At 38.7% G+C, this 24,545-nt stretch overlaps 1 protein-coding gene and 1 pseudogene across 18 annotated transcripts in view; both read right to left on the bottom strand.

The window, feature by feature from the left end:
• Positions 1-24,545, bottom strand: part of ZMYM4 (zinc finger MYM-type containing 4) — a 153,350-nt gene that overhangs the window by 64,542 nt on the left and 64,263 nt on the right. The gene's annotated exons all lie outside the window — the stretch shown is intronic.
• RPL5P4 (ribosomal protein L5 pseudogene 4) lies at positions 5,851-6,865 on the bottom strand (annotated as a pseudogene).

Below are 24,545 nucleotides of genomic sequence, written 5' to 3'. Positions count from 1 at the left end.
TCAAAGGTATACTAATTCAGTCCACATGGATACTCAGGAAGCAACCATACCCTTATAAACTCTATGCCTAAACCACATTTAATTGATACATCAGCAAACAAACTGGAACTGATAAAAATAGAGTGAGGCGAAGACTAAAAATATTAGTGGCACTGGCATCCTTGCTCTTATTTGTTCCTGAAGCCCAGTTACATCCTTCATGTGGCTGGTTCTTCAACCCTTCTCTGGATTATGGAATCCAATAAATTCCTTTTGTTAAGTTGATTTGAGTTGGATTATCTGTAATCAGGTCCCAACTGATACAGAACCCAAAGGAAAGCTTTCCTGGACCAGGCACAGTGGCTCACACCTATAATCTTAGCACTTTGGGAGGCTGAGGCCAGAGGATTGTTTGAGGCCAGGAGTTCAAGACCAGCCTGGGCAACATAGCAAAAGCCCATCTCTACAAAAAAAAATTTTGTTTTAATCAGCCAGGTGTAGTGGTACACACATGCAGTCCTAGCTACTCAGGAGGCTGAGGAAGGAGGATCACTTGAACCCAAGAGTTTGAGGCTGCAGCAAGCTATAATTGTGCCACTGCACTCCAGCCTGGGTGATGTGACAGGGCAACCCCCTGTTTCTTTCTTTTTTTTTTCTGAGCTTTGCTCAAGTTGCTCTCTTCCATAATGACATCAGAATTACCTTTCCAAAATATAAATCATTTCACATTACATCCTCCCTTGAGATTCTTCAATAGCTCCCCACTGCTTGAAGTATTCATTCATTCAGTACATATTTATTAGGAAACCACTCTGTGGTAGGTATTGCACTAGGTTCTAGGGATAAAATGATGAAAGAGATAGCTATGACTCTTCCTCCTCACAGAGCTAGAAAAAATAAACAGAAAATTAGAAACAGTATGAGGGTAAATAATGATTTGAGTCCATAATGTCAAAGGGAAGGAGATAAAAGCTTGTTTCTATCATAAGAACGTTTGCTAATAAACGTAGAGGCAATAATATAATTGGAAAAATTGTCTATACTTTCTAAAATAATCAATTGAGACAACAGATAGTAAAACAGATGCTAAAATCTTAGGAGATGTATGCTGAAGAACTTACAGGTGAGCCATCTCAACGTTTCATCATTAGTAGCTGACCACATAGCATGTGCTCTGTAATTTTTCATAAATGAAAAATTAGGTGTTTTATGTAGTCAGAACAATGAGTTCTATAGTGCATGAGAAGTCAATACTAAGAAGTAATATTGTAAGCAACTTTCCATATCACTACATTTACTTATTTATTTAGTTAGTTGGTTCATTTTTTGAGACAGGATCTGGCTCTGTCACCCAGGCTGGCGTGCAGTGGCATGATCTCAGCTTATTACAACCTCCGCCTCCAGGACTCAAGCAATCCTCCTACCTCAGCCTCTCAAGTGGCTGAGATAACAGGCGCATGCCGCCACATCTGGCTAATCTTTGTATTTTTTGTAGAGACCCAGTTTGGTCTTGAACTCCTGAGCTCAAGCAATCCGCCCACCTCAGCCTGCCAAACTGCTGGGATTACAGACATGAGCCACTGCACCCAGCCCCTTATCATTACATTTAAATTCAGGATATAGTATTTGAAGAAAAGGGTAGTCATATGGAAAAATGAGATCCCTAACTCACATCAAAAAATTTTACAGATGTATCTAAGTTTTAGGCATAAAGAAATAAAACAGTAATATTAAATAAACTACGGAAGAATTATTTTAGTAATATTAAAGAAACTATGGAAGAATTATTTTTGAGTCGCAGAGACAAGCCTTTCTAATAATGACCAAAAAAATCCAGAATAAAAGATCAAGTTATAAATAAAAATATAAAAGATCAAATGTGACTTTAAAAATGGCTAGAGATGAGAAAACACAAACCAAATCAAAAAGATAAAAAGATAAACTGATTTAAAAGGTTTTATTTCATATCACAAAGGGTAATTTCCTTAAAAGATAAAGATAGGACCTATAGTTCAGTAAAGATACAGACAAATAACCAAATACACATATAAAAGCAAAGGGCTCAAACAAATATTTCAGAGAGAGCAAAATACTAAGGTTCAACAAGAGAAATGCAAACTAATAAAACGAGATATCACGTTCACACAGCAGGTTGGTAATGACAAAAAGTTTTGATAAAAGTCTTGCAGATGGCTGGGTGCGGTGGCTCACGCCTGTAATCCCAGCACTTTGGGAGGCCAAGGTGGGCGGATCATGAGGTCAGGAGATTGAGACCATCCTGGCTAACACAGTGAAACCCTGTCTCTACTTAAAAAAAAAAAAAAAAAAAAAAAAAAAGAAGCCAGGCGTGGTGACGGGCACCTGTAGTCCCAGCTACTCGGGAGGCTGACGCAGGAGAATGGCGTGAACCTGGAAGGCGAAGCTTGCAGTGAGCCGAGATTGCGCCACTGCACTCCAGCCTGGGCGACAGTTAGACTCTGTCTCAAAAATAAAAAATAAATAAAAATAAAAAATAAAGTCTTGCAGCTATATTATAGGCCAAAATTAGGAAACTATGGCCCAAGACTAAAATATATACAAAGAAAAGTTTTTGAAAGAGACCATATGTAGGCTGCAAAGTCCAAAATATTTACCATCTGGCCCTTAACAGAAAAACATTTGCCAACCCCTGCAGTCAAATACTGCTGGTAGGAATGCAAACTGGTACAAAACTAATAAAGAGCAATTAGGCAATGTTTTTGATACTTTGAATACACAGAACTCTTGACCCAACAATTCAACTTTTTTTTTTTTTTTTTTTTTTTTTTTTTAAAGACAAAGTTTCACTCTGTCGCCCAGGCTCGAATGCAGTGGTGCCATCCTGGCTCACTGCAACCTCTGCCTCCCAGGTTCAAGCGATTCTCCTGCCTCAGCCTCCTGAGTAGCTGGGATTACAGGCACCTGCCACCACACCCGGCTAATTTTTGTATTTTTAGTAGAGACAAGGTTTCACCATGTTGGCCAGGCTGGTCTCAAAACTCCTGACCTCAGGTGATCCACCCGCCTTGGCCTCCCAAAGTGCTGGGATTACAGGCGTTTGACACCACGCCCAGCCCAACAATTCAACTTTTACAAATTCATCCTGCAGATATAATCTCACAAGAGAGTGATGAAAAAGAATATTTATAGCAGAAAAAGACTGAAAACAGCGTATGTGTTCATCAGTGAGGCTAACTTAATTATAGTACATACCTCTAATGGAATATTATATAGCTGTTAAAGAGAATGAGGCAGCTTTATGAATTCCCAAGATCTGTTAAGTGAAAAAAAATTTTTAAATCTTTGAAATGCACTGGAGATTTACAGTTTTCTCAGAGATGTCAATTTCTTTTTTTTCTTTCTTTCTTTTTTTGAGACAGAATCTTGCTGTCACCCAGGCTGGAGTGCAGTGGCATGACCACGGCTCATTGCAGTCTCAGCCTCCTGGGCTCAGGTGATCCTCCCATCTCAGCCTCCCAAATAGCTGAGACCACAGATGTATGTCACCACATCCAGCTAATTTTTTTTTAATTTTTTGTGGAGATGGGAGTTTCACCACATTGCCCAGGCTGGTCTCAAACTCCTGGGCTCAAGCACTCTTCCTGTCTTGGCCTCCCAAAGTTCTGGGACTGCATGAGCCACTGCACCTGGCCTCAGAGATGTCAATTTCTAACAAAGCAACTGATGTGAATTAGCAATTTTGGTACTTACACAATAAATCTGTAGGCTGCATAAAATCTTATGCAATTAAAATGTAAGTACTAGTTACATTACTTAACTGAATCAGAATTCTTCTCATCCTTGTGATCCATATAACCAAATAAAAGAAACAGTTTCTGTTTCTCAGAGCTTATATCAAGAGAACAAAACAGAACACTACGATCTCAGCAGCTGAAACACCTGAAAGCACAAATTTCTCATGGAAGATTTCTGGCTTTTAGACACTGTGAGTATGCTTGGCGTATGTGAGGAAAAGCAAGGATGGTATGGCTGGAATTGCATGTATGAGAGGAAGAGTGATTAAAAAATGAGAAAAGAGAAATAAACAGAATGGATCTATTAGGAAATTGCAAGCAACAGGAAAAAACTGCAATGTATGTAAGTGTAAAAGGAAGTCGTTAGAAGACTCTACAGACAAATTAACATAATTTATGTTTTACAAGGATCATACATTCTACATATAGCTTCTGTGTACTATGAAGTGTTCAATGTTATACGGAGCAGAAGAAGAATGGAAGCAGGAAGATCACTTAGGACCACTTAGGAAGCTACAATAACCCAAGGAAAAACTGGTAGTTAAACCCAAGGTAATAATAATGGTGGATGTGAAGAACAGTAGTCAGATGTGGATATATTTTGAAGGTAGAGGCATTGCCTGATACGTATATGAGATGCGGGGTATGAAAGGAGTCAAGAATAACACAACAGGGTGTCATTTCCTGAGATAGGAACACTAAGGGAGGACCACACTGAAAGAGGGAGAATGAATAATTTGGTTTTGGGATGGTAGATTTTGAAATCCTTCTTAAATCTTCAAATGGAAATATCAAGAAGACAGTTGGATATATTAGCCTGTAGTTAAGAGAAGACTGGCCAAGAAATGAGACATAAATTTGGGACTCATCAATGAAGAGATGGTACTTAAAATTCATGAAACTAGGTAAGATCACCCAGTGAGTTTATTTACTACAGATGGAAGACAGCTGAGAGTCCTGACATACTTCAGTATTTAGAAATCTGGTCAAAATGAAGGAGTCAGAAAAAGACACTAAGAAGGAACAGCTAATAGAGTAGGAGAAAAATGAGGAGACTGGTGTCATAGAAGCTAACGAAGAAAATAGGAGGGAGTGCCTGAACCATAATGAATGCTGCTGAGATGACTGATAAAATGAAGACTGAGAACTTAACTTCTAACTTGAGAACAGCTACATCAGTGGGAAAATGAGTGTACAAGTCAGAGTGGAGTGATCCCAATAGAGATTGAGAGGAGATAACCTGAGAATCCTAGTATAAAATAATTCTTCAGAGGAACTGAAGGAACAGAGATAACTATTCAGAGGCCCTTAATAGAGGTTTTTGTTTTTAGGACTTTGGCTGTGTGTGTGTGTGTGTGTGTGTGTGTGTGTGTGTGTGCGCTAATTTTTAAATTATTAGTAGAGACAAGGTCTTGCTCTGTTGCCCAGTCTGGTTTTTGTTTTTTGGACTTTGGCTGTGTGTGTGTGTGTGTGTGTGTGTGTGTGTGTGTGTGTGCGCGCGCGCGTGCGCGCTAATTTTTAAATTATTAGTAGAGACAAGGTCTTGCTCTGTTGCCCAGTCTGGTCTTGAACTCCTGGACTCAAGCGATCCTCCCACCTCAGCCTCCCAAAATGCTGGAATTATAGGTGCAAGTCACTGTACCCAGCCTATTTACTTGTGGTTTTTTATAAGAATTTTTTTTAAGATTGAGAATATTACAGCTTTGTAGTATGCTTACAAGAAAGCTCTAATAAAGAGCAGTGAGTTCAGGAGGAAAATCTTTGTGTAATAGAGACTGTGATCAGTAAAATGCAAATAGACTTAGATTTTGCACAAGGAGAATAAAGTTATTTTAAGTAATTTAAGAACAATATTTGTTTTATAATGAAAGCAAATTTCATACTTCGAGGTAAAGTCAACCGCCATTCTTTGTCCCTCTTAGTCATTGCTTTAGCAGTATACTGATAATTCTATGCTATATCCAAGAATCATTTCAAGGTATAACCACCAACTAAGGAATTCAACTATCATATAAATAAATATTGTGAAATATTCTAACATATTCCTCCTGCACATTTTTGTTTTTTGTTTTTTTGATTTCTGTTTTTTGTTGTTGTTGTTGCTATCCATCAGTTTATTGTCTTTATCTGAAAAATCCTCATAGAAAATTGTTTGGTTTAGCTCTCAGCAGCCTGCTCCTGAGCTCTGAGGGAGTTTGCCTTCTTTTGAGTTACCTGATCTTTCTTCTGAGCAAGGGATATTTTGGGATGGTTCCACCTCTTCTTTTTTGTTTCTTGGGCTTCTTTTCATAGACTGGATTCTCTCGTATAGCAGCATGAGCTTTCTTATACATCTCCTCCATCATGTCTGGAGTTACGCTGTTCTTTATGTATTGAGAGAACTGTTTCTTGTAAGCATCTTCATCTTCTTTCATTAAGTAGTGCATGTAATCTGCAACTTTCTGGCCCATGATGTGCTTCCGGTGTACTTCTGCATTAAATTCCTTGCTTTCAGAATCATAACCAGGGAATCGTTTGGTACTGTGAGGGACAGACAAGCCTCCATCCACAGCGCCCTTCAGGGTACCCAAAACTTTATTGCCAGTGGTAGTTCTGGCAAGGTCTGCATCCAAATAGCAGGTAAAGGCACGTGGCTGACCAAGATTGCCTTCCACATTGTATTTACCACCAGTCACCTCCACTTGGCATTCACAGATCTTGTCCATGCCAAACCTATTGAGAAGGCTGCGGGCCAGCAGCAGGCCAGTACAATGCGCTGCAGCATAATTTGTCAGGCCAACCTTCAAACCATATTTTGGCAGTTCATATGCATATGCCGCACAGACTATCATATCCCCCTCTATAAGGGCATAAGCAATCTGACAAATGATATCTCTGTTACACAAATTATCATCCTGTATTTGTGTGTTTTGTATTTATTTTTATCCTGTATCACTAAGCGTTTCCAAGCATAGTAATCAGTTTTACCCTCTCGTCATCTTCTAAATTTCACTTGGTATCTCTTAAAGCAGGCCTTATTCTTAACAACTTTAACAAACCCCATCCTGCAGAAGAGAGATCTTTGTCTGCAGCTGGACAGAGACCTGCAGGCCCAGCAGTGCTGGGAGTGGGAAGGGCACATTTTTGTTTTTAATCAAAGCATAATTTTCAGAAATAAACTAGTATTAATAGTAATTTCAGCCGGGTGTGGTGGCTCACGCCTGTAATCCCAGCATCTTGGGAGGGTGGGGTGGGCGGATTACCTGAGGTCAGGAGTTCGAGACCAGCCTAGCCAACATGGCAAAACCCCACTTACTAAAAATAGAAAAATTAGCTGGGCGTGGTGGCACATGCCTTTAATCCCAGCTACTAGGGAGGCTGAGGTAGGAGAATCACTTGAACCTGGGAGGTAGAGGTTGCAGTGAGCCAAGATTGTGCCATTGCACTCCAGCCTGGGCAACAGAGCAAGACTCTGTCTCAAAAAAAAAAAGTAATTTCAACTTTAGAAATCATGGTTCTCTAACAATTCCCTGAGATTGCTACTTTTTTTTTTTTTTTTTTTCAAGATGGAGTCAGGAAGATCACTTGAGCCCAGGAGTTTCAGATCAGCTTGGGCAACACAGCAAGACCTCGTCTCTACAAATAAAATTAAAAAACAAGCCAGGCATGGTGGCACACACCTGTAGTCCCAGCTACTCAAGAGGCTGAGGCAGGAGGATCACTTGAGCCTAGGAGTTGAAGGCTGCAGTGAGTTATGACTGCGCCACTGAACCCAGCCTGGGTGACAGAGAGAGACTCTGTCTTTAAAATATATATATATAAAAAATGAAAAACAAAAATTAAATTATATAAATTAAAAAATGAAAAACAAAAACAAGGTGATTGTGATTTGCTTTAAATAAAAGCTTAAGTTAGCACTTTGTTTAGTCACAGAAACTTTTTTTTTTTTTTTTTTAAAGACAGAGTCTGGCTCTGTCTCCCAGGCTGGAGTGCAGTGGTATGATCTCAGCTCACTGCAACTTCCACTGCCCGGGTTCAAGCAATTCTCCTGCCTCAGCCTCCCAAGCAGCTGGGATTACAGGTGCCCACCACCACGCCTGGCTGGTTTTTTTGTATTTTTAGTAGAGACGAGGTTTCACCATGTTGGCCAGGCTGGTTTCGAACTCCTGACCTTAAGTGACCCACCTGCCTCAGCCTCCCAAAGTGCTAGGATTACAGGCATGAGCCACCGCGCTCGGCCGCTGTCACATAAACATTTCTAAGGGATGATCTGACTATCTGCTATTCAATAAAATATAATTTCCTAAATAATAAAAACCCCTTTATAAGATCACAATGTAATTCAACAGTCAAAGCCAAAAATCATTAAAAATGAAACACAATTGCCTTAAACATTTATTTTTACTTGAGACATACAAAAGCACATTTACCAATCATTTAATATCAGCCAAGATTTTGATAATGGCTATACTAATATGTCTTTCTTAACTAAACCACAGGCCGGACACCATAGCTCACGCCTGTAATCCCAGCACTTAGGGAGGCTGAAGCAGGCAGATCACTTGAGGTCAGGAGTTCGAGATGAGCCTGGCCAACAGGGCAAAACCCCGTCTCTACTAAAAATACAAAAATTTGCCAGGTGCATGCCTGTAATCCCAGCCACTCAGGAAGCTGAGGCACGAGAATCGCTTGAACCCAGGAGGTGGAGGTTGCAGTGAGCTAAGATCACACCACTGAACTCCAGCCCGGGTGACAGAGGGAGACTCCATCTCAAAAAAAATGAAATAAAAATAAATAAATCACAACCATATAGGCCATCTTCATGATTGCAATCTGAGTTTCTTTAAAATGGAGGGAGAAAGTAAAGACACTTGCACATCCATGTTTTTACTGACTTGCTTAGTTTTTCTAAAGCACTCAAATTTTCACAGAAACAACAGTTTACTTTTCAAAGTAACATTTCACTAGTGTAAAAAAATGTACATGTTAACTTATATAATTACAATGGCAAGTATTAATAAAGTTTGGGAACAAACACAATAAATCTTGGTAAGCATGCTGAACTGTGTGGCTGTGTCTGAAACTACTAGATGCTCCTCAACAGCCACTCTAGTTTTCTCCTTTAGTGACAGACCGTGATTCTTATCAGAGCACATTTACAATAGAAAAATGGTTAATTCTTATGTATGATCCTAAACTGAAAAAGAATCATAGTTATTAATATGGCAATAGCCAAAAGAAAACTCTGCATGAGAACGAGATAATAACTACAATGTAATAATTTAGTCTTCTTTCAAGTTGCAGGGATGGGCACATTAAGGAACCAGTATTTTTTTAATGGGCTAGAACAGAAAGCGAAGTGTATCATATAGAATGACAATAAGTAATGCTACAAGAAATGTTTGTGTACACACAGAAATACACATGTATATGTCTCAATGTAAAATATATTTCTAACAGTGTTTCAAAAATTTTTTTAAAGTTTGAAACCAGTGGAATATTTAGATCAATCTGATTTTATAGCTTACCAAAAGGTGATAAATATTTACACTTGATACATTTCTGATAGAAATGAGTTTGATTTTTACCAATTTTAATAGTCAACTTACGCACTAAGGCTTTAAAAATTATGACTTTGAAGTACAGTATAAACCATTTTATAAAACAAATTGTTGTTTTTCAATATGAGAACAAGTACAACAGACTTTACTTTTTAGAATGATCCCTGTTATTTCTAGTGTTCTGGCAACAATGATCAAGAAGATTAGAGGTATCTATATAAACTGATAAAACATTCAGCAATTACCTAAAAACTGTCAAAAGTCTATTAAAACTGAAGCACATCACTGTAATAAACTATCATCTTACTGAGTAAAATTTTCATATCTTATTACATGTCAGTATTTCAAAGAGCATATTACTTTTGTAAGCAGAATAACATAATAAGCAAAATAATAAATACAAAAGTCATTTTTGCCAATAATTGCAGAAGCACAATACCACAGAGATATGGGGAGACGGTACCAATGACCCAACTATACCCCAATCTTTAGGCCCATAAGCATTCCTACTATTCTTCCTTCTAATTCCAAAATTTCTGTAACATAGTTCTGTTACTTATAAAACAAAAATCTGTATTTTCATCTTCTCTCTTCACTTGTCACAGCAGATTTAGCTGATATCCCTTTCTATTCAGATAAACAAGAATCTGTTCAAGCCCTAAACCTAATTTTTAACGCTACCCCTTATAATCCAGGAAAAAAAAAAGAAAGCAATGTTAAAATAATCCTTTATTAAGGGCTTTATAACTGTAGAGACAGAGTAACTTGTACTTTTTTTCCCTCAATGGCATCAGTAAATTTATAACAACTTCATTTTTTTACTCTCATAAGTTCATTAACAGAATAAACCACTTCTACTAGAGCTCATACTATCTGCAAAAATGGTCAATGGAGATTTTTTTGAAAATAAAAATAGAAGGCTGGGTGCGGTGGCTCACGCCTGTAATCCCAGCACTTTGGGAGGCCGAGGCCGGTGGATCACCTGAGGTCAGGAGTTCGAGACCAGCTTGGCCAACATGGTGAAACCCTGTCTCTACTAAAAATACAAGTAATTAGCCAGGTGTGGTGGCGTGCGCCTGTAATCCCAGCTACTCAGGAGGCTGAGGCAGGAGAACTGCTTGAACCCGGGAGGTAGAGGATGCAGTGAGCCAAGACAGTGCCATTGCACTCCAGCCTGGGTGACAAGAGCCAAAACTCCATCTCAAAATAAATACATATATATAGAAGAAGTCCTAATTAAACAATTTTATCCAGGGCCTATTTCTGGATGGCTCTAAGCTAAGAATGATTTTACATTTTTAAAAGGTTGTAAAAAGAAGAATAAGGAGAATGCAAAAAGTCATATTTGTTGACCACAGCCAAGAAAGCTTAAATATTTACTATTTGGCCCTTTAGGAAAAAGGTTTGCTAACACTACATCTATAGAAATGTTGCTATGTGTAGTTCACACAGTACAACTGGCATTATGGTAGAGAAATAATACTGAGTTAAATAGGCTTAGAAAGCTACTTAGGGAAATTATCTATAGAACTATTTCTTTCTCTTTTTTTTTTCTTTTTTTTTTTTTTTTTTTTGAGATGGAGTCTCACTTTGTGACCCAGGCTGGAGTACAGTGGCATGATCTTGGCTCACTACAACCTCCACCTCCTAGGTTCAAGTGATTCTCCTGCCTCAGCTCCCTCAGTAGCTGGGATTACAGGCGTACGCCATCACTCCCAGCTAATTTTTGTGTTTGTAGTACAGGCAGGGTTTCACCACATTGGCCAAGCTGGTCTCGAACTCCTGACCTCAGGTGATCTACCTGCCTCAGCCTCCCAAAGTGCTGGGATTACAGGTGTGAGCCACAACGTCTCACCTCTATAGAACTATTTCTGAGTTAAGTTCAAAATCATACAGAAATTGTAAGTTAGGCACTAGTTAAAATATTGATCATAAAACATTCCACTTCCAGCCACCATGGTGCAGTACTGGTTCCAAAATAACCCTCCTGCATAGCAGCCTCATCCACAATAGCTAAAAGGTAGAAGAAACCCAAGTGTCCAACTATAGATAAACAGATAAAATGTGGTATATACATACAATGGAATAGTATTCAGCCTTAAAAAGAAAGGAATTCTGACACATACTACAAAATGGATGAACTTTGCAGACATTATGCTAAGTAAAATCAGTCCAAATAAAGATAAACACTGCATGATTCCACTTACATAACATACAGAATAACTGAATTCATAAAGACAAAGTAGAAGGGTGATTGCCACAGGCTGAAAGAAGAGAGAAATTTCGAGTTGGGAAATTGGGTGTACAGTTTCAGTTTCGCAAAATGAAAAGCATTCTACAGACTGATTGCACAACAATGTAAACAGTTAATGCTACTGAACTGTACACTTAAAAATGGTGAAGACGGTAAATTTCATTTTACGTATATTTTACTACAATTAAAGTTTTTAAAGATGTTTTTTAAGAAGTAATGTGGGAGGCTGGGTACAGTGGCTCACGGTTGTAATCCCAGCACTTTGGGAGGCCAAGGCAGGCGGACTGATTGAGCCCAGGAATTCAAGGCCAGCCTGGGCAGCATGGTGAAACCCCATCTCTACAAAACATACAAAAATTAGCCGGTGAAGTGGCATGCACCAGTAATCCTCAGGAAGCTGAGGCCGGAGAATTGCTTGAGCCCGGGAGACGGAGATGGCAGTGAGTCGAGATCGCACCACTGCCCTCTAGAGCCTGGGCAACAGGAGTAAAAACCTGTCTTTAAAAAAAAAAAAGTAATACGGGGAGTGGTGGAGGATACACATTACCAATATCAGGAATGAAATAAGGGACTACAGATTTCATAGAAATTAAAAATAAACTAAGAAAATATTATAAACAACTGGAGGTCCATACAGTTTAAAATATTATTAACTTGATGGCAATACATAAGAATGATTAACAACTTTACAAAAATAAATGACAGTTTAGCTTTGTGATATGCAATACAGTAGCCACGTGACACTTGACTATTTAAACTTAATTCTAATTAAATTACACTTGATCTTAGCCAAGAGGCCCAGAAGCAATAAATTTAGTCAAACTAAAACTTCAGTTCTGCACCCATCACATTTCAAGTGCTCAACAGTCACAGGTGCCAGTGGCTACCATACTTTAACTGTGTACAAGAACATTTCCATGATGATGCAGACTCTGACTGTGCAGATAGAGAAATGGCTCAAAAGGTGAAAATTACCAAAACTGACATGGAAGAAATAGAAAATCTGAATGGCCCCAGGCCCGGATGTCTCCACTAGTGAATTGAGTAAATAAAACACTTAGGAAATAATAACCCATCTTATATGAACTCTTTAAGCAAATATGAGAAAGGAATATTTCCTAATTTTATATGGCCAATATTGCCCTGGGACCAAAACCAGGAAAACACATTACATGAAAAATACATGCCAGTATCTTTCACAAACATAGCTGCTTAAAATATTAGCATAAATACTTAAAATATTGGCAAATTGAATATAGAAACATATAAAACAAATAATATATCATAAGTAAGATTTATCCCATAAATGCAAAGTGAGTTTAATATTTAAAAATTCATCTTCATATTAACACATTAAAGGAAAAAATAACATGATCATCTAAGTAGAGAAAAAGCAACTGACAAAATTTAATACTCATTCATGAAAATATCTTTCAGTAAACTAAAAAGAGAAAAGAAGGTCTTTGATCTGAGAGAGGGCATCTATAAAAAAAAAAATCAACATCTCATGACCTACTTAACAGTTTAAGACTGAATACTTTCCCCCTAAGTTGAAAAAAACAGTTAAAAATCTCTCCTCTCACCACTTCTACTCAATACTGTAATAAACATCCTAGCGGCTGGGCACAGGGGCTTACACCTGTAATCCCAGCACTTAGGGAGGTCGAGGCAGGTGGATCACTTGAGGCCAGGAGTTCAAGATCAGCCTGGCCAACATGGAGAAACCCCATCTCTACTAAAAATATAAAAATCAGTCAGGCATGGTGGCACACGCCTGTAATTCCAGCTACTCAGGAGGCTGAGGCACGAGAATCGCTTGAACCCAGGAGGTAGAGGTTGCAGTGAGCCCAGATAGCGCCACTGCACTCCAGCCTGGGCAACAGAGCAAGAATGTCTCAAAAAAAAAAAAGGAAAAAAGAAATATTCCATGCTTATGAAAAGACTATATATACTTAAGGTGTTAATTTTCCCCCAAATTAATCTAGAGATTTAATGTAACTCCAAAGTCTCTGTGGATTATTCTAGAAATTTACACATTGACTCTAAAATGTATGTGTAACTACAAGAGACATGAAAAGCCAAAACAATTTTTCTGTTTTTTTTTTTTGAGACAGAGTCTCGCTCTGTCGCCCAGGCTGGAGTGCAGTGGCGTGATCTCAGCTCACTGCAACCTCCGCCTCCCGGGTGCAAGCAATTGTCTGCCTCAGCCTCCCGAGTAGCTGGGATTACAGGTGCCCGTCACTGCGCAAAGCTAATTTTTGTATTTTTAGTAGAGATGGGGTTTCACCATGTTGGCCAGGCTGGTCTCGAACTCCTGACCTCAGGCAATCCGCCCGCCTTGGCCTCCCAAAGTGCTGGGATTACAGGTGTCAGCCACTGTGCCCAGCCAAACTTCTGATTTAATATAAAGCTAAATTAACCAAGACAGTGTGATATTGGCCTAAGGATAAACATACGGATTTGTGGAATAGAAAAGTCCAAAAATAGACTCAAAAACATTGGTCAAATGACTTCCCACAAAAGTGCCAAGGTAAATCAATCCAAAAAAAAAATCTTCAATAAATGTTACTGATACAACTGGACATCCATATACAAAAAGATTTATTTTACACTACATACAGAAACTTGAAATGGATCATCAACTTAAGCATAAAAGCTAAGCCTAAACTATAAGGTTTCTAGAAAAAAAGCAAGTACAAATTTTCATGATCTTATGATAGATTTCTTAGAACACAGCATAGACCATAAAAATATAATAATAAAATTGGGCTTCATCAATATTAAAAATTTGTGCTTTTCAAAGAACACCAACAATACAACAAAAGGCAATCCAAAGAACAGATGAATGCATAGATGGATGGATGGATGGATACGGAGAGAGAAATACAGATGTAGACTGATGGAGACAGACACAGAGATAGCCCCATCTGTTTCTATCAGTCTATCTATTGAGACTTGTATCCAAACTAGTATACATGAAGAATCCTGGGCCAGGCTCAGGATTCTCTTGCCTGTAGTCCCAGTAATTTGGGAGGCTGAGGCGGGCAGGTCGCTTGAGGCCTGGAGTTCGCTACCAGCCTGGGCAACATGGTGAAACCCCATCTCTACAAAAAAGTACAAAAAGAAAAAAAAAGTAGCTGGGCGTGGTGGCATGTGCCTATGGTCCCAGCTACTTAGGAGGCTGAGGTGGGAGGATCACCTGAGCCCAGAAAATTGAGGTTGCAGTGAGCCATGATCACACCACTGCACTCCATCCTGGGCAACTGACTGAGACCCTGTCTCAACAACAACAACAACAACAAAAAGGATCCTTACAACTTCATAAAAAGAAGACAAACAAATTTTAAGATGGACAAAAATTCAAACATACACTTCACAAAACAACATTTAGGAAAGGCCAATAAGTACTCTGAAAAATGCTCAACACCATTGGTTACCAGGGAAATGCATTGAGATGCTACTTTCCATCCCCCACAAAACGCTTACAGTTCAAAAGACAGGGACGACTTAAATGAAATGGAGGCCAAGAGCAGTGTAATCCCAGAACTTTGGGAGGCCAAGGCAGGAGGATTGCTTGAACCCAGGAGTTCGAGACCAGCCTAGGCAACAGAGAAAGACCTTCTCTCTACAAAAAATAAAAATAAAAAAAATTGCCAGGAATGGTGGCACATGCCTGTGGTCCCAGCTACGGGGGAGGGTGAGGTGGGAGGCTCACTTAAGCATGAGAGGTGGGGGCTGCAGTGAGCTGAGGTCGCGCCACTGCACTCCTGAAACAGAGCGAGACCCTGTCTAAAAATAACAACAAAAATGAAATGAACAAATGCCTTGAAAAATACAACCTACCAAAAACAGACACAAGATGAAATATAAAATTCTTTAAATGCTGTATCTATTAAAGAAAGTGAATTCAGAATTTTAAACCATCACACCAAGAAATATCTAGGTCCAGATGATTTCAGTGATTAATTGTATAAAAATTTAATGAAGCTATAACTCCAATCTTAACACAAACTCTGTCAGGAAAATATTAGCAAACTGAATCTAGCAATATATAAATATGAATATTATTCAGCCATTCCTCAAGGTAGAATGGGAACATATATTTTTTAATGTAATAAAGCCTAAGCCTATTTGACAGAAACCAACTACAATCAGCCCCCAATGACAAAATACTACAAATTAACTACTTTACTTAGAATCAAGAATTAGTCAAAAGTCACTACTACTTTAATATTTAATGAAGTCCTACAAATTTTAGCAAAACACTAAAATTATATAATGTGAAGAAGCTGGAAAAAAGAAATAAAATAGTTTTAGATGATATGGCTTTATAATGCATAACTACAGATTCAAATTTATTTTAAAAGCCTACTAGATTTAATAAGGGAATTAAGTAACACCCTGACTATTCTTGCAATAAGAATCTAGAAATGAAAAAAGTTTTTCAATATAAAAAATAAAAATTTTTACATTTGTCAAAGTACTAAAGAACAACTGATACAAGAAAAAGCACAATAAATATTACTTGAAAATAAAATGTTAGTGAATGGCATAAAATAAGATCTGTATGCTAAGATTTGGGCTTATTGTTCTTATTGTATGTAAGAACAAATACATAATAAAAATATTGATTCTGCCCAAAAGTAATATATGTACATGTATCATTTTCAATTAGAAGTCCAACAAAATATTTTTGGAAAGTATATAAAATCATGTTAAAATTTAGTGGCTTAATGGAAAGCAAAAATTACAAAAAATAAAACTGAGACAGTGGCTTGACCCAGCAGATAAATGTCTATACCACAAAGCCAATAAATACACAGTAATTTAAAAATACTCCTTCAAATAAATATACAAATAATAAAAATCAATATGGCATCAATATAAAAATAAATATATTAATAGAATGTAATAGAAATTCCAAAATAGATCCCAATATACATAGAACTTTAAATATATCTCAGTGGTGCTAATTCAGTTCAGTGATAAAAAGATTATGGTGGCACAATAGGCTACTCATCTAAGGAATAAAAGTGGACCCCAACCTTGCCCTACATCCAATTAAATAAAACTTAAATGCTAAAATATAAAATAAAGAGCTTGCATGATAATCCTTTATAGCAGGGGTACCCAAACTCCAGGCCACAGACCAGTACCAGTCCATGGCCTGTTAGAAACTGGGCCTCACAGCAGGAGGTCAGCATCCCACAAGCAAGCAAAGCTTCATCTGTATTTACAGCCACTCCCCATTGCTTGAATTACCGCCTGAGCTGTGCCTCCTGTCAGATCAGCAGCAGCATTAAATTCTCATAGGAGAGCAGCATTAAATTCTCATAGGAGCGCAAACCCTATTGTGAACTATGCATGTGAGGGATCTAGGTTGCCTGCCCATTATGAGAATCTAATGTCTGATGATCTGTCACTTATCTCCCATCACTCCCAGATAGGACCATCTAGTTGCAGGAAAACAAGACCAGGGTTCCCACTGATTCTACATTATAATGTGCTGTATAATTATTTTCATTATATATCACAATCTAATAATAACAGAAATAAAGTGCACAATAAATGTAATGTGCTTGAATCATCCCAAAACCATCCTGCCTCTCCCTCTGACGCCTGGGTCCATGGAAAAGCTATCTTCCACAAAACTGGTCCCTGGTGCCAAAACAGGTTGGGGACTGCTACTTTACAGAGTAAATTATAAAATTGTATTCAAAGACATTGAAGATTTAAATAAATACAAAGACATACCAAGTTCATGGATAGAAAGACACAATGCCACTTCTCTCTCAGTTGATCTACACATTCATGATAATTAAATAAAATTCCCAAAAAATTTTTGTTATTTGATTTTGTTCTGTCAGAAACTTCCCAAGATATTTCTAATGTAAACAGGGGCAAGAATAGGCAAAACATTCCTGAAGAAAAATTTTCAGGGATGTGTCCCATCAGATTATTAAGAATTATTACACAGCTCATTCATTAGAACACCTTGGTACTGTCACAGGAATAAACAAACAAACAGTCCAAGAAAACATTAACTGAGAATGTGGGGAAATGCCTACAGATGTAGTTATAGAGAAACTTTGCAGCTTACTGGAGAAAGGAGGTAGTATTTGATAGATGCTGGTGAGTAAGGTAATTTATTAGCCTTATAATAGTAAATAAAATTAGTTCCCTACTCCACACCATATAAAAAATTAGTGTAGGGTAATTCAAAAGCTACACGTGAAAGGCAAAATCAATAAAGATTTTAGGAAATAATATACAGTCATCCCTCCATATCCATGGGGCACTAGTTCCAAGACACCCCTCCCAACCATGCTCAAAACCCACAGATGCTCAAGTCTCTTATATAAAATGGAATAGTATTTGCACATAATCTATACACATCTTCCCATATACTTTAATTCATCTCTAGGTTACTTATAGAACTTAATATTATGGGCTCATGCCTGTAATCCCAGCACTTTGGGAGGCCAAGGCAGGCGGATCACCTGAGGTCAGGAGTTTGAGACCATCCTGGCCAGTGTGGTGAAACCCCATCTCTACTAAAAATACAAAAATCAACTGGGTGTGGTGGCAGGTGCCTATAATCCCAGCTACTCAGGAGGCTGAGGCAGGAGAACTGCTTGAACCCAGGAGGCGGAGGAAGCAGTGAGCAAAGATCGCGCCACTGCACTCCAGCTTGGGTGACAAGAGTGAAACGCCATCTTAAAAAAAAAAAGAATATAATGTTAATGCTATGTAAATAGTTGTTATATTGTATTGTTTAGGGAATAATGACAAGAAAAAGAAGTCTTTATATGTTCAGAACAAATGCAATCATCAATATTTTTTTCCAAATATTTTTGATCCACGATTGGTTGAATCTGCAGATGCAGAACCCATGGATACAGAGGGCAAACTGTAATTGCTCTTCCTGATCTCAGCCCAGGAAATTTTTCCTAAATAAAATGGGGGTTAAAATATAAACCATAAAGGAAAAGACTGATAAATTTATTATCGTTCAACTACATTAAAATCAATTAACTTCTGCATATGCAAAGATTTTATGAAGACATAAGAGATGAATGAGAAGTTTATTCGCACCATCTATAACTGGTAAGTTTATTGTTCAGAACATTTAGAGAATGCCTACAATTCAATAAGAAAAAAACTAATAGCAAGTGGGTAATAGATTTAACGTAACAGGCATTTCACAAAAAAAATTAAAAATACCCAATAAATGTGAAAAATGTTCAACTACTCATTAACAAGGAAATGCAAATTAAAGACAAAATGAAGTTCATGTTATATCCTCCATACTGACAAAGATTAAAAGTCTAATAAATCAAGTGTTGGCCAGATGTGAGGTGACCACAACTTTAATTAACCAGTAACAGAAATGTAAATGGATAAAACTAGTCTTTCCTTGGTATTACTGGGGCTTTGGTTCCAGGACATTCCCCTACCCCACAGATACCAAAACCCGAGCATATTCAAGGCCTACAGTTGGCATGAGACTGCTGATATGAAAAAAAAGTCAGCCCTCTGTATAAGCAGGTTTCACATCCCTCACATACTGCATTTTCTATCCACGCTTGGTTGCAGGATCCACTGATACAGAGGGCCAACTGTATTTACTAAATAAAATCCAAAATCCATGCATAAGTGGACCCGTACAGTTCAAGCCCATGTTGTTCAAGGATCAACTGCACAAAAGAAACTAAGTTTTGCGTTTCTAGCAAAGTTGAGAATGTACACCTGCCTAGGCCTGAGCAATCACCTCCTCAAATATACCCTACAGCAGGGGTAGGTAAACTATGCCTGCATGTCAAATCCAAGAGACCTCCCTTCTGTTTCTGTATAGCCCAAGAGCTAAGAATGATTTTCACATGTTTTAATAGTTTAAAAAACAATCAAAAGAACATTCCCTGACACATGAAAAATTACATTAAATTCAAATTTCAGAGTCCCTAAAGTTTTGTCAGAAACACAATAATCCATTTATGTACTATCTATATTGTTTTTATTTTATTTTATTTTTGAGATGGAGTCTCGCTCTGTCACCCAGGCTGGAGTGCAGTTGTGCAATCCTGGCTCACTGCAACCTCCACCTCCTGAGTTCAAAGGATATTCCTGCCTCAGCCTCCCAAGTAGCTGGAATTGCAGGTGCCTGCCACCACGCCCAGCTGATTTCTGTATTTTTAGTAGAGATGGGGTTTCGCCATGTTAGCCAGGCTGGTCTCCTGACCTCAGGTGATCCACCCGCCTCAGCCTCCCAAAGTGCTGGGATTACAGGTGTGAGCCACCACACCCGGCCTTATCTGTATTGTTTTTATGCTACAAAGGCAGAGCTGAACTGCTGCAACAGAGACAGTATGACCTACAAAGTCTAAAATGTTTACTATCTGGCCCTTTAGAGAAAAAGTTTGCCAACCTCTGCCCTAGAGACCTACCATAAGAAACACATCTTATACTGAATTGCATACATATTAATTTCTTATATGTTATAAAGAAACATATGCAAGAATAATCATAAAGGATAAATTTGCAATAGAAAAACTGGAAACATCAAGAAATCTATAGAGAACACGATGGATTTACTATATACATATATATATGAGTTGGAGTCTTGCTCTGTTGCTCAGGCTAGAATGCAGTGGTGCAATCTTGGCTCACTGTAACCTCCATCTCCCAGGTTCAAGCGATTCCCCTGCCTCAGTTTCCCAAGTAGCTGGGACTACAGGCGTGCAACATCACATCCAGCTAATTTCGTATTTTTTTTTAGCGGAGATGGGGTTTCACCATGTTGGCCAGGCTGGTCTCGAACTCCTGACCTCAAGTGATCTGCCCATCTCAGCTTCCCGAAGTGCTGGGATTACAGGTGTGAGCCACCGTGCCCGGCCCAGAAAGAGGTTTAATTGACTCAAAGTTCAGCATGGCTGGAGAGGCCTCAGTAAACTTACAATTATGACAGAAGGGGAAGCTGGCATGTCTTACATGGTAGCAGGCAAGAGCACGAAGAGCACATGAAAACTACCATTTATAAAACCATGATACCTCATGAGAATTCACTCGCTGTCACAAGAACAACATGGGGGGAACTGCCCCTATAATCCAATCACTTCCCTTTTGTAGAGACATGAGGACTACAGGTCACTCCCTTGAATGTGGGGATTACAATTCAAGATGAGATTTGGGTGGGGACACAGAGCCAAACCATATCATGTATTACATAAACAACTGAATATGATTCAGCCTTAAAAATGAAGGTAATTGGCTGGGTGTGGTGGCTCATGCCTGTAATCCCAGCATTTTGGAGGGCTGGGGTGGGCAGATCACCTGAGGTCAGGAGTTTGAGACCAGCCTGACCAATGTGGTACAGTCCTGTCTCTACTAAAAATACAAAATTATACCCAAAATACAAAATTAGCCAGGGATGGTGGCACACGCCTGTAATCCTAGATACTCGGGAGGCTGAGGCAGGAGAATCGCTTGAACCTGGGAGGTGGAGGTTGCAGTGAGCCAAGATCCCACCACTGCACTGGAGCCTGGGCAACAAGAGTGAAACTCTGTATCAAAAAAAAAAAAAAGGTAATTGTGACTCATGTTACAACATGTGTCAGAATGTTCAACATGGTACCACAAGGTTCAACATGATGAACCTTGAGGATACACTAAAGTATCATTTTTACCTTAAAAATGAAGGCAATTCTAACACATGCTACATGTATCAGAATGTTCAACATGGTACAAGAAGGTTCAACATGGTTCCACAAGGTACAACATGATGAACCTTGAGGATATGCTAACGTACACACAGTTACTACCATAGTCAAACTCTTAGAAGATAAAACTTCTAAGGTTGCCAGGGGATGAAGAGGGGGTGATGAGGACTTATTGATCAATGGGTACAGAGTTTCACTTTTGCAGGATGAAAAAGTTCCAGAGATCTGTTGCACAACAATGTGAATATACTTAACACTACTGAACTGCACACTTAAAAATGGCTTAGGTGGTAAATTTTATGGTTTTTTGTTTTGTTTTGTTTTTTTGAGACGGAGTCTCGCTCTCTCGCCCAGGCTCACTGCAAGCTCCGCCTCCCAGGTTCACGCCATTCTCCTGCCTCAGCCTCCCGAGTAGCTGGGACTACATGCGCCTGCCATCACGTCCGGCTAATTTTTTATATTTTTAGTAGAGACAAAGTTTCACCGTGTTAGCTAGGATGGTCTCGAGCTCCTGACCTCGTGATCCACCCACCTTGACCTCCCAAAGTGCTGGGATTACAGGTGTTGAGCCACTGCGCCTGGCCCAGAATTTTATGTTTTTTCCACAATTTAAAATAGTTATATATTTATATAATGAATTATCATGCATTGGTGACAAACAAATAAACAAGAACCGCATACAACAATGCAGTAAAATCTCAGAAATACGCAATGAGGGCCAGGCATGGTGGCTCACACCCGTGATCCCAGCATTTGCGAGGCAGAGGCGGACGGATCAAGAGTCCTGGTCAGGAGTTTGAGATCAGCCTTGCCAGCATGGTGAAACCTCGTCTCTACTAAAAATATAAAAATTAGCCAAGTATGGTGGTGGGTGCCTATAGTCCCAGCTACTCGGGATGCTGAGGCAGGAGAATCACTTGAACCCGGGAAGCAGAGATCGCAGTGAGCCGAGATCGCGTCACTGCACTCCAGCCTGGGTGACACAGCGAGACTCTGTCTGGGAAAAAAAAAAAAATGCAATAGGGAATAAAAGCAAGTGGTAACACACAGCATGATTCAAAAACAATACAAAGCTCAAAACCAAGCAAAACTACAAATATTCAATAATTGTGGTAAAGGAAAAGCAAGAAAATAAACACAAAATTCAGGATGATGGCTACCTTTTTGGAGAGGTGGCTACTTGTATGAGACTGGGAAATTGGCATCAAGAGCATGAAAATATACATTTTAAAAAGCTAAGTGGTTAAGCGTTTTCATAAAATATATCTTACATTGTAAGTTTATTTTGTGTTTAATAATTTATAAAAAGTTTTCGAAGTATTCCGAGAAATAACTAAGGAGTGAGAAAAACTTTCTTAAACAAGACTGAAAACCCAGATGTCATAAACGATACCAAAATGTTTAAGTGTCAAAAACATTTATTTAGCTCAAGATGACACAAAAAGGGAGTCAAATGAGGGAAATCAGAACTCCTGCCCCCATCAAAAGAACTTTACATTATGCATTCTCAAAGTTAAAAATCCTGAATGAATAGTGATTGTCTATTATGTATATCTGAATCTTCTTTCAGATGTATGCTTTACTGTGCTTACTGTGACTCACCATAACAGCTATTATTAAAATATAAAACAAGCTTACAACTTGCTATGAAGAAAAAGTAAACTTTTTTTAAAGGGCAAAAGATATTCATTCTTCAACAAATATTTATTACTAGACAATACAGAGAAAGCCAGTCTAAATGTTAAACTTATTAAAAGCTGCTCAAATTCTACAGGAGTTGAGAACATACAAATTAAAGTTAAGGCTGTGATATTTTACATCCATCAGACTGGGAAATATTAAGAAGAGCTATAATATATACTAATGGATGGGGGAAGGTGTTCTTACTACACTGCTGGTGGAAATGTGAGGTATTAAAGTGCTTTTTTATTTTTTAGAAAGAAGGTCTCTTTCTGTCACCCAGGCTGGCGTGCAGTGGCATAATCATAGTTCACTATAGCCTCGAACTCCCGGGCTCAAGCAATTTTCCCACCTCAGCCTCTCAAGTAGCTGGGACTACAGGCATGTGCCCCCAAGCCCAACTAATTTTTTCTGTATTTTCTGTAGAGATGGAGTTTCGCCATGTTGCCCAGGCTGGTCTCGAACTCCTGGGCTCAAGCGATCCGCCCACCTCAGTCTCCCGAAGTGGTGGGATTACAGCATGCTTTTTTTTTTTTTTAAGTCACAGAATCCTTACTCTTTGGAATCTAACCACATATATAAAATGACCAACTTACAAAAACATACATTAAAGGACTTTTAATGTATCATTGTTCATTGTGGCAGAAAAAACCTTAAACGACATAAATGCCTAAAAACAAAGCAGAAGATGACTTATTGTGCATTAAAATCACAGAATAGAGAGCTATTCCAGTTGAGGTGAAGGGGTTTTATGAAGTACTCAAGACAGAGAGAAGTGAGGAGGAGAAAAGTATGTATATGATCCCATTTTTGTTAAATAAGAAAAACTCAAAATCCTGACATACATATATTTGTGTATGTTTATGTATATAATGATGTTATGAGCACTGAAAAACATGGAAGGCTACCTACAAAGCTGTTGACACAAGTTATGAGAGGGGATAGGAACAATGATATGGGAAGGTGAGGCCAAGCCAACAGAAAAGCCAAAATGTTACTCTTAAAAAATCATATATGGGCCAGGCGCAGTAGCTGACACTTGTAATCCCAGACCTTTGGGAGGCCGAGATAGGCAGATCAACTTGAGACCGGGAGCTTGAGACCACCTTGGCCAACATGGTGAAACCCCGTCTCTATTAAAAATACAAAAAATTAGCCGGGTGTGGTGGCGCACCTGTAGTCCCAGCTACCTGGGAGGCTGAGGAACAGGAATTGCTTGAGCCCAGGAGGCGGAAGCTACAGTGAGCTTAGATTGCACCACTGCACTCCAACCTGGGCAACAGAGCAAGACTCTGTCTCAAAAAAAAAAAAAAAAAAATCATGTATGATCAGATTCATGCAATTTACATATATGTATTACTGGAAATAGTTAATGCCATGAAGATCCAAACACAAACCTCTAGGATAAAATTTTTAAAGCTATTTTATGGCTTAGAATATTTTTTAACAGGGTATTTTATATGCTGTGACAGCAGATTTTATTTTACAAAAATGGCTGCAACAGTATCTTCCATCCATGTGCTTTTCTATAACGTGACCTTCACCCTCCCTCCTCCTATTAAGATGTGGGGTCTATAGCTTCTGAATCTGGGCAAGCTTGTGA

The sequence above is a fragment of the Homo sapiens genome, chromosome 1 (assembly GCF_000001405.40).
Source record: "Homo sapiens chromosome 1, GRCh38.p14 Primary Assembly".
NCBI lineage: Eukaryota > Metazoa > Chordata > Mammalia > Primates > Hominidae > Homo > Homo sapiens.
This window is presented reverse-complemented; position numbering and strand designations above follow the sequence as displayed.